Source organism: Homo sapiens, chromosome 21 (genome assembly GCF_000001405.40).
Source record: "Homo sapiens chromosome 21, GRCh38.p14 Primary Assembly".
NCBI classification, from domain to species: Eukaryota; Metazoa; Chordata; class Mammalia; order Primates; family Hominidae; genus Homo; species Homo sapiens.
Window position 1 is genome coordinate 34991533 of NC_000021.9, and position 15377 is coordinate 35006909.

Genomic DNA, 15377 nt, shown 5'->3' on the forward strand with positions numbered 1-15377 from the left:
AGCAGGGATTACGATGATGATGATGATGATGATGATGATGATGGTGATGATGACTGTTATTTCTGTTTTACAGGTGGAAAAGCAGAGGCACAAAGCGGTGATGTGACTTGCCTGAAGTCACACGGCTACAAAGTGGTAGATAGGGGAACGGCTCCCACGTCTGTATGGTCTGAACTGGGTTGTGTAGTGTTCCCCAAAGTTCATGTCCACATAGAACCTCAGAATGTGACCTTATTTGGATATAGCGTTTTTGAAGAAGTAACTGGTTAAGACGAGGTCATCCTGGATTAGGGTGGGCTCTGAATCTAATGACTGATGTCCTTATAAGAAGAAAAAACGGACAGACAGAGGGAAGACCTCATATGATGCTGGAGGCAGAGACTGGGCTGATGTAGCCCAGAAGCTAAGGAGTGCTGGCAACTGCTGTAAGGTAGAAAGAGGCAAGGAAGGATTTCCCCCTAGAGCCTGCACAGGGAGCAAGGGCCTGCCAACACCTTGATTTTGGACTTCTGGCGTCCAAAGCTGTGAAAATAATTTCTGTTGTTTTCAGCCACCCAGTTTGTAGTAATGTGTTATGGCAAGCATGGGAAAGTAACGCACCCCCTCTCAGGAGAGTGAAGCGGGCGGTGTCTCCAGGGGCCTGGACATTTCTGCCCCTTCCCAGGACAGGGTACAGAGCCAGCAGGCCTGCTTCCCTGGAAGTTCTGCCCGGTGGTGGATGTAGTGGGGGACTCCCAGATGGCGCACACATTGCACAGGCAGGCCAGCATGTTCCTCTCCCAAGATGGCATTTTGGGAGGTACACAGTGCTGGAGCACGAGCCAGGAGCCTGGGGCACATTCCCGGCAGCCAGACTTTGGAAAGCAGGAGGCAGCCACCTGGGGCTTCAATCTCCCTTTTTAGAAAATGAATCCCTGAAGTGAACATGAGTCAGGTACTGTTCTGGGCACTGAGGATGGATTAGGCAGTGAGATTGGTCCCAGTCTCTGTCTCCATGGAATTAACATCCTAGGGGTGACCAGCCATGAATCTCCCAATCATTAAACAAGTGGTGATTTCAGAGAGTGATAAGAGGTATAAAGAAAAACTCCCCTCTCAAAAGATTATGACGTTTCTTTCACAAGATTAAACATTACAAATATAAAAAAAAAAAAAAGAAAAAAAAAAACAACCCAAGAAATGGGATGGCGATGCCCTTTGGCCATGTTCACTGCTGCATATCCACACAAACGCCTTCGTGGCAGCCCAGGCAGTGCCCAGCAAGCTCAGACTCAGCCAGTCCTCGAGCTGGCCTGGCAGGGCTTTGCAATGCAGCTACCTTGTGGCCAGAGGGGCCCATCCAAGTCCAGTTTCTCCATGTCAGGGCTAGCAATGAGGAGGATGACTGTGCAGGCAGCCCGCCCAGGCCTCAGCAGGGAGGGGAGCGGAGACTCCCTCCGGGTGGTTCTCTAGGCAGAGCTGCCAGCAGGGTGGACGGTTCCCTGAAAGGACCACTCTCTTGCCCTGCCAGGAAGGGCATCTGGGGCCTTTGGGAAGCACTCGTGGAAGGTGCTGGGTGCTTCACCTCGTATCTGGCGGACGCCATCACCTCTGCTCTACTTCTAGGGTGACTGCTTTGAGGAAGACGTGGCAATTTCAGAAGCTTTTTAAACTTCCCAGAGCAGAAGGCCAAGTTTCCCAATCTAATCTATATGCCTTAGCGATGTCACTCCTGGACAGGGATAATTTTAAATGCAAGCATACTGATGTAGCTATAGGATGGGGTAAGGTAAGATGTAGGGTAGAAACCATTATCTTAAAAAAAGAGCAACTTCAGAGAAAAAAGCAGTTCTAGGGGCAAACAAAACTGTACCAGAGGGGCTCCTAGGAACCTCAGGGACTTTCCATTTGATTTGCCTTTTCAGGTAAAACACCATTAATAGGAGCCAGAATAGAGTCAGAGGACAATGTCTGTTTGTTTGTCCCTACACACACACACACACACACACACACACATACATACAGGCACACACAGACACACACACAGGCACAGACACACACAGGCACACACACAGACACACACACACAGGCACACACAGGCACACACACAGACACACACACAGACACACACAGGCACACACACACAGACACACAGAGACACACACACAGACACACACACAGGCGCACACACACACAGACACACACAGGCACACACACACAGACACACAGAGACACACACACAGACACACACAGGCGCACACACACAGACACACACACACAGACACACACACAGACACACACACACACATACACAGACACACACACAGACACACACACACACGGGTATGTGACTGAGGAATGTGACATGAATGACCTGGCATAAATGCAATGTTCTAATTTATTCCACATCATTCACTGAGATTCTCCACTCACTAATTTTCCTAAAAGCAGATTTTTTCATATCCTTTGAAGTCAAGCAAGTGGTTTTGGGGAAAGGGTTGTTCCCTCCGGGCCGGCTGGCAACATACGGAATTGTCTCAAAAGCCCCGTTAGCAACAGAGGAAAGGTCAGCCCCCTCTTAGTGAATGGAGAAGGAGAAAGTAAAGGTTGTGATGATAAACATAGAGCAAGTTTTGACAACCATTGGATCATTTAACAGTACCAGAACATCTAGACGGAACCACATTTTTTTTTACCATTGCTATTCATATATTTTTTAAGAAAATTAAAAAAAAAACTTCCAAGACATTTTCTAAACTGGGAAGGAGGATAAAATATTTACCCATGGTGTAAACTATGTAAAATGCAATAATGTGTAAGACCTGGTATTTGACAGCATAACAGGGTGACCATAGTCAATAATAATTTAATTGTACATTTTAAAATAACTAAAAGTATAATTGGATTGTTTATAACACAAAGAATAAATGCTGAGAGGATGGATACCCCATTTTCCATGACGTGATTATTGTATATTGCATGCCTATATCAAAACATCTCATGTACCCCATACATGAGATGTGTATAGGTACAATGTGTGCATAGGAGTGCAGTGGTGTGATCACAGCTCCACAGCTGTGCACCTGCTATGCGTATACACCTACTATGCACCTAAATGCCTAGGTACCTACATTTACGGGTACTACGTACCCGTAAAAATTGAAAATTAAAAAGAAAAATAAATAAACGAAATGATCTATTATCTTCTTCTACTGATGAGGACATAATGAAGGGTTTGGTATGTTAGACTCATACACATATATGCAGACTTTTGTGGTTGTAGTTAAATTGGTCAATAGATATAGACTGACCTAAGAAAAGAGGAATTAACTTCCAGCCTAATACTGACTGGGCACTTCTGTTCCCGTACACCCTCAGAGACTTCAGCCAACTTCTGAAGCAGTTAATTGGCTTTCCTGGCTGGAACCGCAACGCCATTGCAGGCAAGTGTCTTGGAGCTCCAGACAGGCCCGTGAACAGGGTGGCAAGAAGTCTAGGAGAACATGAATCAGCCCCGCATGGACACCCGTGGCATTTAAGCCCGAAAGGAAACTTGACTGGTAGCCGAAGTCAGCAATGGATGCCAAGCAGGCTGTGCCATGTTGGGGGACTGAGGGGTGGGGACCGGCTCCTGAGCATGGCTGGTGGCCACGGAGGCCCCACCTTGTGAGGCCACTATGTCCCCTTTGGCCCTACACATCAGACTCCACCCTTCCCAGCAGACTCTCTGACCCTTTCAGCTCTGACCACAAAGGGTGGAACTTAATGAGCTGGGAACCCAATTTCTCACTGGTTTTGGTAAATTAAAAGCGATAAAATGAGTAATCCATTAAAGTCATCATTTTTCCTAACTGAAAAAAAAAAGTATGACAACTCTGTTGAGACTTGACCTCTTTGAAATAAAGGCTGTTACTTTCTGGGAGCTTTTTTTTTTTTTTTTTTTTTTTGAGACAAGGTCTTGCTCTGTCACCCAGGCTGGAGTGCAGTGGTGTGATCACAGCTCACTGCAGCCTTGACTTCCTGGGCATAGGTGACCCTCCTGCCTCAGCCTCTCAAGTAGCTGTGACTACAGGTGTGCGCTACCATGCTCAGCTAATTTTTGTATTTTTTGTAGAGACAGGGTTTCGCCATGTTGCCCAAGCTGTTCTCGAACTCCTGAACTCAAGCCATTCACCCGCCTTGGCCTCCCAAAGTGCTGGGATTATAGGCGTGAACCACCATGCCTGGCATCTGGCAGGTATTCTGAGATTTAAATCTTTAGATACTGCAGTTTACTCATTGTCCTTTGTTGTCATGGAGTTTATAGAAAAGGCTATTTAGGAACTAATGCTGTCTTAATTATTTTCTCTGTCTCTCCTCTGCCTCTTCGAATGTACATGTGTAGGTGTATGTGTGTGTATATGTACGTGTTTCTTTTTATACTTGGCTTTTTGTAGCCATCATTTTTTATCTTTTAGAATGCCCCCACCACACATTCAGCATAGATTTGCTTTTCAGAATTTTGAACATTGAGAATTCTTTGAATATTTTCTAATACCTGAACATTTACCTTTATATGTCTGCAGCCTGTGGACAGGTGTGTAGAATAGCAGACTGTCAGACTTGGGAGGACCATGAGGCTATTGACTTGGACCTTCCATCTCATCAAGCAGGAATTCTCCCAAGGAACCACCGCCCTGACCTATCCCAGGGGTCAGGCCTGCCTAAACCAGGCTTGAGTTTTGTATATATTGCTCAGCTCAGTTGTAGAGCTCAGGTGTGATAACTCTGCCTAAGAGGGGATGAGGAGGAGGGCTAAATGGAGGGAAAAGTGGTACAGGAGAGAAAATAGAGAGAAAGGGACATTATAAGGGTGGGACTGGGGTCAGAGGCTGGGAACTGGGGGCTGGGGGAGATCTATCAGAAGAGAGCAGGCTGCAGGGACGTCCTCCTGGGTTCCTGCTGTGTCATGCGTCTGACCTTTTGTGTCTCTTTCTCAAACCCTGTTGATGTGTCAGCCCACGAGATGCTGGGGGTGTGGAGAGGACGAAGACCAGGGCAGAATCTTTGGCCTAAAAAGCAGAGTTCCTGGAACAGTGTCGACATTTTAAAAATATTAGCTAGCTTGAAGAGGAATGCTGAACTCTCTCTCTCTCTATTGTTCTCTCCTACTTAATTTCATAACTGATCTCCTCTTATTGAAACTGTAAGTGGAAAAAAAGATGGTTTCACAGAGATCCTCATTAAAGAAAGTGTTGCCGTAAGTAATCTAGTAATGTAGGCGTTCTGCAGCACAACATTCCTCCTGAGCTTATCACTTTACACTGTGAGGCCAAGATGTTAAAAAAAAATACACACATACACAGCAAACCCCTACTCCCAAACATAAGAGTTTAGATCTTGAGCAATAAGACATAGATACTATCACAATATTTTGCAAATCTCAGAAACATTGCCACATTTTCCATAGGGTTAACATCTGAGATGAAAAACTAATTCAGAACTTATGATTCCTTTTAAAAAAATTCCCTTAGCCAAACTGAAGAAATTTACTCGGGAGAAGAAAATGACTTAACTTGTAGTTTCCACAATGAGAAACATATTCTCATGGCTTTCAGCCACTTTCTATCATTATGTGATGGGCTTAAATTGCATTCACTGACAGTGAATTAAAAGCATGAATGAAATCTTTAAATGAACAACTGAAATAAAATCATGATTTAAACATCCTAGCACTTAAAAGTAAAAGAAACTTTTGCATGGCTGTAGACATAATGATCAATACTGAGTCTTAATCCCAAACCTGACAGCCCATATTTTTCAAACTGAGTGCCTCAAATTCACAATAAAAAAAAATAGGCCTCTTATTGCTGCAGTGAGATAGGGCAGTGTAATGCCTATGAGTGTGTCTCTTCCTGTGTTGTATCTGGCCTTGAGTCCACAGAATCCCCCAACATCAAAGGAAGCAGTAGGAGATGGTGTGTGGAACACCAGATAGCCGGAGGAAAGGGGAAACTCTTCCTTTGCCAAGAGGGATTGCTAAAATTAGATGGTAAAGTAGTCTTGGCACTGGAAGTCGTCTTGCTGACGATCAGCTTCAATAGATGATAGAACTGTTGCTTATTTGGAGACTTTCAAAGAGAGGGGCTTACACCCCAGGCAGGAACGTCTTACCAGGCTGAAGAGCTCTTTCTGTGTGGAGATGCTTTCCTAGGTCTATCTTAAATTCTTCATGCTGATATTCAACCCCACTTCCTCTTGCTTTGGAGCTTAGTGCAGAAGGGGCCTTGCCAGGCACTATTCTTTTCCTGCAAACTTCCCAAGATGATTTTCATAACTCAAGACCATCATCCTTCTCTCCCCAACACCCCCAATCTGGGCGCTTCATTTTGGCCTTTTCTGTGCATTTGGGGTGCATGTGGAAAGAAGGTTCTGCAAGATGGGGTGGAAGGACCAGGACTGGGCTCTCACTTGGGCTGAGCGTATGGTCACCTGGCACATCCAGGGCCATCTCTACTCTCCTCCCCCATCTCCCTTGCCTCTGCCTTGCCCTGGTGACATTATCTAGACATCTACCACTCAAATGTATGACTTGGGTAAGCATTGCATCTTCTATGTTTCTCTTTTAAACTTTGAGACCATCAGGAAAGGGTTGAGCCTGTCAATATTAATATCTTTGCTGCCCTCGTTTCCTCTCAAGAAAATATTTAGGGAAGCAAGAAGGGCTGGGAGAGGGGATGAAGAGGAAAAGCAGGGGGCTTAGGAAAAGGGGACCTGAGCAGGGGCCACAGAGATCAGCCCCATTTTCCTGAGAACGTCCCTGTGGCTTCCTCAGAGGGACCACACAACGTCCAGAGACCACCGTGTGACTTTCAGAGATAACAGCGACAGTTCCTGGCAACATTTGCTCCCTCCCCCACCTCCATCCTTCATCCTCCTCCTCAGAGAATTTTATTTGGCTTTGGGCAACATGAAAGTCAACTCCACAGAGTGCAGAGGGAGTCAGAGAGCCCAGTCCTCATCTCATCTGGTCAGCTTCTTTTTTCTTTTTTTCTTTTTCCTTTTTTTTGAGATGGAGTCTTGCTCTGTCACCCAGGCTGTAGTGTAGTGGCCCAGTCTCGGCTCACTGCAAGCTCCGCCTCCCAGGTTCACGCCATTCTCCTGCCTCAGCCTCCCGAGTAGCTGGGACTACAGGCACCCGCCACCATGCCTGGCTAATTTTTTGTATTTTTAGTAGAGATGGGGTTTCACCGAGTTAGCCAGGATGGTCTCAGTCTCCTGACCTCGTGATCCGCCCGCCTTGCCCTCCCAAAGTGCTGGGATTACAGGCGTGAGCCACCGTGCCCGGCCTCTTTTTTCTTAAGACCAAAACAAACCACAAACGCTCTCACCCTACTAAATATCCACCCATGAAGTACAGTTGGGAAATCTGTGCTCCAAAGCAAAACCATTCTCTTTGAAGGAGCCAGCCTAGACTGCTCTATCCCACCAATGAGAGAGTTAATAGACTTGATGGGAGACAGGCACATGGCAATAAGGAGGTCTGTTCTTAGGTGAAATAGGTGAGTTGTGCTGGCCATCAGCACTGGAAGCCCTGAATTCAGGCCTTTGGGTGAGCAGGGCAGCACACACAACTGGGCAGAGTGGCCCTTTATCTCATGCCAGCTGGACCCAGAGCCGGAGCTTGGAGGCTGGGGTGATCAGGCTGTTCTTGGCAGAGGTTCCTGAAATGAAATGACTCTGGTGGTGATGGGAGGCCGTGGCTCCAGGCCTGCCCCAGCATAACACGTTGTTAGCATATGTTAACAGGCTGCCTTTTCTCCAAAGATCACAAAATGCATTCCATTTAGTGTCTGTTTTGGAAGTGTTGCTATCTGTGTTTTATAGGTGACAAAACCAAGATACATCAAGGTCATGGAGCCCCCACAGCTGAGGGTGAGTGAGTTAGGGGCTGACCTGGGAGACCTGCGCTTCCTGATTCTCAGGCTGTTGCTCAACAGCTGACCCCTGATCTTTCCAAACTCCTTCCAGAATGGTCCTTTTGGCCTGCAGATCTCAGGGTCTGGTAGGAGTTAAAAGGAACACGTGTGTTCTGAACTCCCTGGAAGAGAGTATTGAAAACACACACACAATCTAGTGTTCGACATGTGGGGACCGAGATGAAAGGGGACAGCTGTTTCAGTGCTGGGTTTTGTGACCACACGTGGTTAGGCCTTCAGCCCACGGAAAGCACATGGAAAATGAGTGGAAGACCTGGCTCCCTCTCTTCTCTCCCGTTAGGCACAAGACGGTGTAAATCCTGGTCTTCCTCCTTTTAAAAGTGTGACTATTGCGTCAGACTAAGCTTTCTAAGGAACTCGCCACTGGTATCATTCAACAGAAAGGAACCTGCTAGATTAAAGCTAAGTGAAATTTTCCAAATGATTTCAGCTGGCTCTACCTAGTGGTTAAGCTTCATCTTTATCGGGCTGAACGAGATGAGCTTTCACCCAAGATGTTGGAGCCACGCTTATAATATTTGACTTTTACACAAACAGTTATTTGATTGCAATCCAAACAAAAGCAAATGATGTCCAAAGTTAGAACTATGGATACAAGGCACTGAAACATCTTAAAACTCAAGGCTGAAAGGTATCTAAGGAATTTTTGTCTCAAGGAAGAGGTGTTATAATTCCCAAAAAGGAAACTGTGTCTACTGATTTTTTTAAATCTAGAGGGAAGACGATCATATAATTTTCTTTCTTTCTTTTTTTTTTTTTTTTTTTTTTGAGACAGAGTCTTGCTCTGTCACCCAGGCTGGAATGCAGTGGCGCAATCTCGGCTCACTGCAAACTCCGCCTCCCGGGTTCACGCCATTCTCCTGCCTCAGCCTCCTGAGTAGCTGGGACTACAGGCACCCACCACCACACCTGACTAATTTTTTGTATTTTTAGTAAACACGGGGTTTCACCGTGTTAGCCAGGATGGTCTCGATTTCCTGACCTCGTGATCTGCCCACCTCGGCCTCCCAAAGTGCTGGGATTACAGGCGTGAGCCACCGCACCCAGCCTCATATAATTTTCATCAGGCACTAAAGCTTAACAATCAACTGGCAAACAAATGTTTACCATACACGACTGTATGCAAAGTTCCGGAAGGGCAGGCAGATAGCTATTTTATTCATGTTCCCATAGTTGAGTGCTTCATGTTCTTTGGACTTGTATAAGTAACATTAACTACTCTTAATACTGGGAAATTCTTTGTTATCTCTCTCAACCGTCTCTCACATCATTGCCTTTTGGTATGGCCTCCTAATCTGAGTTCTGTTCCAGGGAAAATGGGAATGGAAGTCACTCTCAATGACAGCCCTGCACACGCAGGGAACACCTGGTTACTAGTTTGTCCCTGAGCCACTTCTTCTGGTGCCAGGCTGAGCTAAGGATAAGGCAGCAGAAAGCAAAAGGCAACCTCGAATGTCTCTAGATCCAGACTTTTGGTCTTTCCCTCCAAATGTCTTCCTCCCATAGTCCTCTATGGCAATTGCAGTTTCCAGATTTCTTACGCTGAAGAACATGTGATACTTCCATGCCTGTTTTCTTTTGCTCGTTCCCTCCATCTACCAGTCATCGACTAATGCTGGTTTTACCTCCAAAACAGTCACTCTCTTTACCGTCTCTATAATTTTTTTTACTTCCATTTGCAATAGTTTCTTATTTGTATTTTTTAAAAGTTTTTTTAATAGCCTTATTGAGATATAATTCACATATCATATAGTTCACCTATTTCAAATGTACAATTCAATAAGTTTTTGGCCTATTATTTTTTTTGAGTTATGGTTTTATATATATATATATATATATATATACGCATATATAACATACAGTTTGACATTTTAAGAATTTTTAACTATAGTTCTATGGCACTAATTACATTCACAATGTTGGCAATAATAATTACTATTCATTTTTCCCAAAACTTTTTAATTGCCCAAATAAAGACTAAATATGCATTAGGAGTAGAAGAAAACTTCAACACGATAAAGCTCATATATAGAAACCCACAACTAACATAATACCGAATGATAAACTACTGAAAGCTTTTCCCCTAAGATCAGGAACAAGACAAGGATGTTCACTCTTGCCACTTCTATTCAACACAGTACTGGAAATTCTAGCCGGAGCAATTAAGAAAACAACATATAAAAGACACCCAAATTGGAAAGTAAGGAGTCAAATTATCTCTTTACAGATGCCATGATATTATATGTAGAAAACTCTAAAGAATCCTGAAATAAAAATCTGTTCGATATAATAAGTGAATTCTGCAAGCTTGTAGAATATATAGAAACACAAAGAGCAGTTGTGTTTCTACATACTTGCAATGACCAATTCAAAAAGGTAACTGAAAACAATTTCATTCAAAATAACATTGAAAAGAACAAAATATGTACAAGTAAATTTTAAACAAGGAGGCAAAAGACTCATATACTGAAAACCACAAAATATTACTCAAAGAAATTAAAGAACAAAATAAATGAAAAGGCACCTCATGTTCATGGATTGGAAGACCTGCTGTTAAGATAACTATACTACCCAAAGCAAACTAAAGATTCAGTGTAATCCCCCATCAAAATCCCAATATTATTATTATTATTATTACTATTTTTACAGAAATAATAAGACCCATCCTGAAATGCTAACTGGCTTTTTGCACTTGCTGTTTCTCCTTCCTGGTGTGCTCCTGAGTCAGACATTAGCATGGCTCCCAGTGTCACCTCCTTCAGGTGAGTATGCCACATGACACTCATCACCTTCTCAGCGTGCCCCTCCTTCACCAGCTTTGCACCCCCAGCTGCCCCTTATTTGTCTTATGCTTTTCCATTGCCCTTAGTATCATTTTCCCACACAGCACATTTTATTTATTTATTTATTTATTTATTTATTTATTTATTTATTTATTATTTATTTATTTATTTAGAGATGGTATCTCGCTCTGTCACCCAGGCTGGAGTGCATTGGCGTGATCTTGGCTCACTGCAACCTCCACCTCCCAGGCTCAAGCAATGCTCCTGCCTCAGCCTCCCGAGTAGCTGGGACTACAGGCACACGCCACCATGCCCAGCTAATTTTTGTATTTTTAGTAGAGACGGGGTTTCACCATATTGGCCAGGCTGGTCTTGAACTCCTAATCTCAGGTGATCCATCTGCCTTGCCCTCCCAAACTGCTGGGATTACAGGCGTGAGCCACTGTGCCCGGCCTACTTATTTATTTTTATAATTTCCCCTTTAAATACAAATTTCACGAGGTCAGGAAGTTTTATGTTTGTTCACTGCTGTATTTCCAGCATCTAAAACATGTCAGGCACATAGCAGGCATTCAAGATAAATATTTATCAAATGCAAGCATGAGTGTAAAATGTATGAGAAAAACCAATACATCCACATTTATTATTTTTGTAATGAGACAAGACCAACAAGTGATTACTAATGGGATTTTCGCCTCACATTTTCCTTAACAGAATTTAAAATTGTGGCAAAACATGGTGGTGCAAGAACAATACAACTTCATTACACACCCAAAGAAGTGGTGAGTTCATCTATTTCCTCCCACTCGAAAAGCAAATTCATTTTGGGCTGTTTTCACATCATCAACTCTCCTTCCAATGTACTGCTCCTTGAATCAGAATACATTTGAAATCATTTCCCAGTCTGAAAAAGTCATCAGTGTATCTTAATCCATCTTAATCTGTAATGGCAAAGGACCCCATGTGAGTGGAGATGCAGTTATGGCTAAGTGTGGGATGCCAAGAACTTGACTTTGGCTGGGTGAGAGCAAGTCTCAATAGCAAGGGAGCAAGTAGACAGCTGGTAGGAAAATCATGGGTTCGCCTGCATGTGAGTAACAAGGACGAACGGTAATGGGAGACTCCCACAAGTGGGAAACAGTACATGTAGACATGACTACATGCCAAACAAATGTACAATTGCACATACTTAACTTATGATTTTTACTTTGATGATAATGAGTGAACAAGAAGGAGAAAAGCTGTCTTTTTTTTTTTAAAAAAAAAGATGACTCAACCATGTCTTATATTAAATAGATATTGGGAACATTTGCCTGAATTACATCACTGACCTCATGAAGCCATGAAATCTCCCACAGAACACCACAAAGCCACAGCTTTATCTCCAAGCTCAACACTTTGTAATGGCACCTCTTCAAGGCTTAGTTCCTGTATTTCCATTCTCAGGGGCAGATGCTTCCCTTAGGAAGAGAAGCCCACTGTCTCTCTGAGAGGAGAAACTGATGCTTCTTACCCTGAGACTGAAAGGGCTGCAGTGCCTAAAATGAGCACTGTGATCCAACCTGGAGAAACTGTATCTTTAACACACTCACAAAGAAAAAAATAAAAAAGAAAACCATATTCTTTAGATTTATTTCGTTCAAATACACTCTTTAGCTAGAGCACAGGCATTTACCTTCCAATTCTACTTATCTATTGATCCAACATATTTACATATTTTCAAAATAATCCACACACATTCTATAATCCCACCCATATAAGATTTCTTTAAAGTGGTAAACCTTTTCCACCACCATTTACTGTTGAGAAAATAAAGGGATGAGAAAGCATTAGCTGTGTTCTAGACATGGTCCAGTCAAAGAAGGGAGAACTTGGAAATACAGAACTGTGGTTATTCATCGTGACTCTGCCAGCCATTGACTACTTGTGTACACTTGGACCAAGAGACTGGTTTGATACCAGTCACATCCATGATGGTGACATTCCATGGGATGACAAAGTGCCTGTGGTTGTGCCAGAACTTTCTTGTATCAAATAATTCTAGAAAACAAGAGGCCCAGAAGCTAGAACCAAGACACCACTTTTGTATGAATTAACAAGACCTCAATTGCTTGGCCATAGTGGCTCCCATCATGGCTTCTGAGTTGTAGACCTTAGCATTATGGCACATCTCAAGGGACTATGAAAAATCAGCTCCCCATCTGTGTTCCATAGAACAGCACGACAATTTCAGGACCTAGCTGAGGGCGTGTCTTGAGTAAAGTCACAGATAAAGCTTACACTAGAACCTGGGAACTTTGATCCTGTTTTTATCACCCCGTCCATTGTTGAAGTAATCATTTAATTTTCCCAAATGGTCCATGGACTGTTTGAAGCAGGACCTTACCTGATTCTACCCCACTTCTAATGCTTCTGTACCTGAAGATTTTATTAAATGACAAGGGATCATGTATTTGGGGAAACAGAGACATTCAACTTTCGGGCTCACAAGAGAGGCAGCTTTAAGTTCAGACCTTCCCTTGTTGTCTGCTTGCTGGAGAAGTGTCTGTCTTGTGATCCCAGCTTACAATTGGCCCTGGACCACAAACCAGGCCTACAAGAACATGGATGTGGTGCCCATGTTTCAAATTCATCTCACTCTCTTATCAGCAGGGGACTTTGATTTGGCTTTTCCTAAGACATGGTTAAAATTCTTATTATCAGCTTCAATTTCTGTGCCACAGTTTTAAGACTAACCACCTCTGCTTTTCTCTATCCACAGCATAAACCACAAAAACTGCTGTCACCACTGAATTGTTGAAAGAGAAGGCATAGGTAGATTTTATTGATGTATTCAGAGATCTCCAGAAATCATGTTTTTTTTTTTATTAGAGTTGAATTTCTTCTTCATACCAATATGCTTACCCAATGTGATGGAGTGATGAGGAAACGGGAGAGATGAAGACAGAGATACAGACAGAGATGAGAGAGGCTGCATTTTACTCAGTAAAGACCCCCACTGACCCCACAATTTGTCTACAGTCCTATAAACACCATTAGGATTCTGTATGACTCATTGTATATGCAAGGAAATAGCCTCTTCTGTCCTCTAAAGCACCACAATTAAATTCCACACTTGAGTCAAATTGGAGTCAGATCAGACCAATGGCCCCACCCCATACCCCACGAATAATTTAATTAATAATTTAGTTAATCTATACTAAGAACCTTCATATTACAGCTTCTCTATTTTTAAGCCTAGGAACTATCAGTTTTCCAGACATACTATATGACTTAAAAGACAGGCTCCACAGTTCCATCCTCATCCCTGGCACCTAATCATAAAGGACATTCATGATCCTAGCTATCCCTTAGCTTCCTTCTTACAGCTCAGACTCTGCTGGACCGACCCTGATATACCTGCTCAGCACTCGCCAGCTAGTTGCCTTCCCTCATGCTATAAATGCTGTACATGGAGGAAGAACATGGCTTTTGGCTGCAGCTGGAAGTCTCCTCCCCTCCATCTCTTATCTTTTAAGTACCCTTTGAATTTCATGCCAGTGTCAGGTGAGTATGGGGTGGCACTATTATGTGATTTTCCTGCCACATTTGCAGGTGTGCCTCATGGCCTTGACACATTTAATGTCACTTTCTTTCAACTGGGATGTGTGGCGACCAGTACGTCCACTCCAGCTGGAATGCCTGGGATTGTGTTTTTATGGATGACGTCTTCACAGCTGGGAAGCATCTCTCCAGGGTCTCTGACAGTGAGTAAGTTGCTCACATCATTGTTGGCAGGCTCATCCCAATTTTAAGTCATTCTCTAAGACAAGGCAGACAAAAAGTCTCATCTATTAAGGTCACCAGGCCTTTGAGTGCTGAGGAGCTAAACTAAAGCGTTGCATCCAGGTGCTGGATTGTGGAGTTGTTGTATGCATTGTCTTTGAGAGAAAGGCTACAGTGAAGGAGATGGAGGCACCCACACGTGGAAGATTGGAGATTTAAACATGAAACAGCCTCAATGTTTTTCTTGAAAATCTGCTTTGCCTCCATAAAAGCCTCAAGGAGGCAAACTGAACTAAATGTACTTTTCAGGAAACACAATGAGAAGGACATCATCTGGTTAACACAATAAAGCCACACTACTCTCTCTCCCCCTCTCTCTCTTTCAAGCCTTCCAGAGCACCCTTCCTCTAGCAGACATAGAAGAAAACTACCCACATGGCTCAGAGGTTAAGGGCCTGGGAACGAGCCTCAGGCAGACATGGATAGGAGTTCCATTCTGCTGGTTGACTTTGGGAAAGTTAGGCAACCTCTCTGGATCAGAAGAGGAGAGCAATAATACCAGTATCCTGGTTGTTACATAGGAAGTGCTGGGCACAGCACCGCGCACATAAGGGGTGCTCAGTACATGCTGGTCAATATTATCGTTATTAATATTTCCTTTGTCTGAGTGGTGAATGAGGAGCATGGAGAAGTGGTGTCACCACATCTTTTGATCCTGGGGCTCAGTGGTGCTTTAGAGTGGGTGAAGGCTGAGCCTGAATCAAGGCCTGCCCAGAGCCTTTCTCTACCAGGCAAAACGTGCTGGAAAGATAGAAGAGAGGAGCTCCTGATTCACCCAGGACAGTCCCCATTTACTGTACTTGCCACCTCC

At 43.7% G+C, this 15377-nt stretch overlaps 1 protein-coding gene across 13 annotated transcripts in view, besides 1 other annotated feature; it reads right to left on the bottom strand.

The window, feature by feature from the left end:
• Window positions 1-15377, bottom strand: part of RUNX1 (RUNX family transcription factor 1) — a 261502-nt gene that overhangs the window by 203732 nt on the left and 42393 nt on the right. The window lies entirely within an intron of this gene.
• Window positions 4800-5094: an enhancer, noted in NCBI's record as "tiled region #4684; HepG2 Activating non-DNase unmatched - State 7:EnhWF, and K562 Activating DNase matched - State 5:Enh". NCBI's record gives its function as "activates a minimal TATA promoter and a strong SV40 promoter by Sharpr-MPRA in HepG2 and K562 cells {active_cell/tissue: HepG2 | K562}" and the evidence as "EXISTENCE:reporter gene assay evidence [ECO:0000049][PMID:27701403]".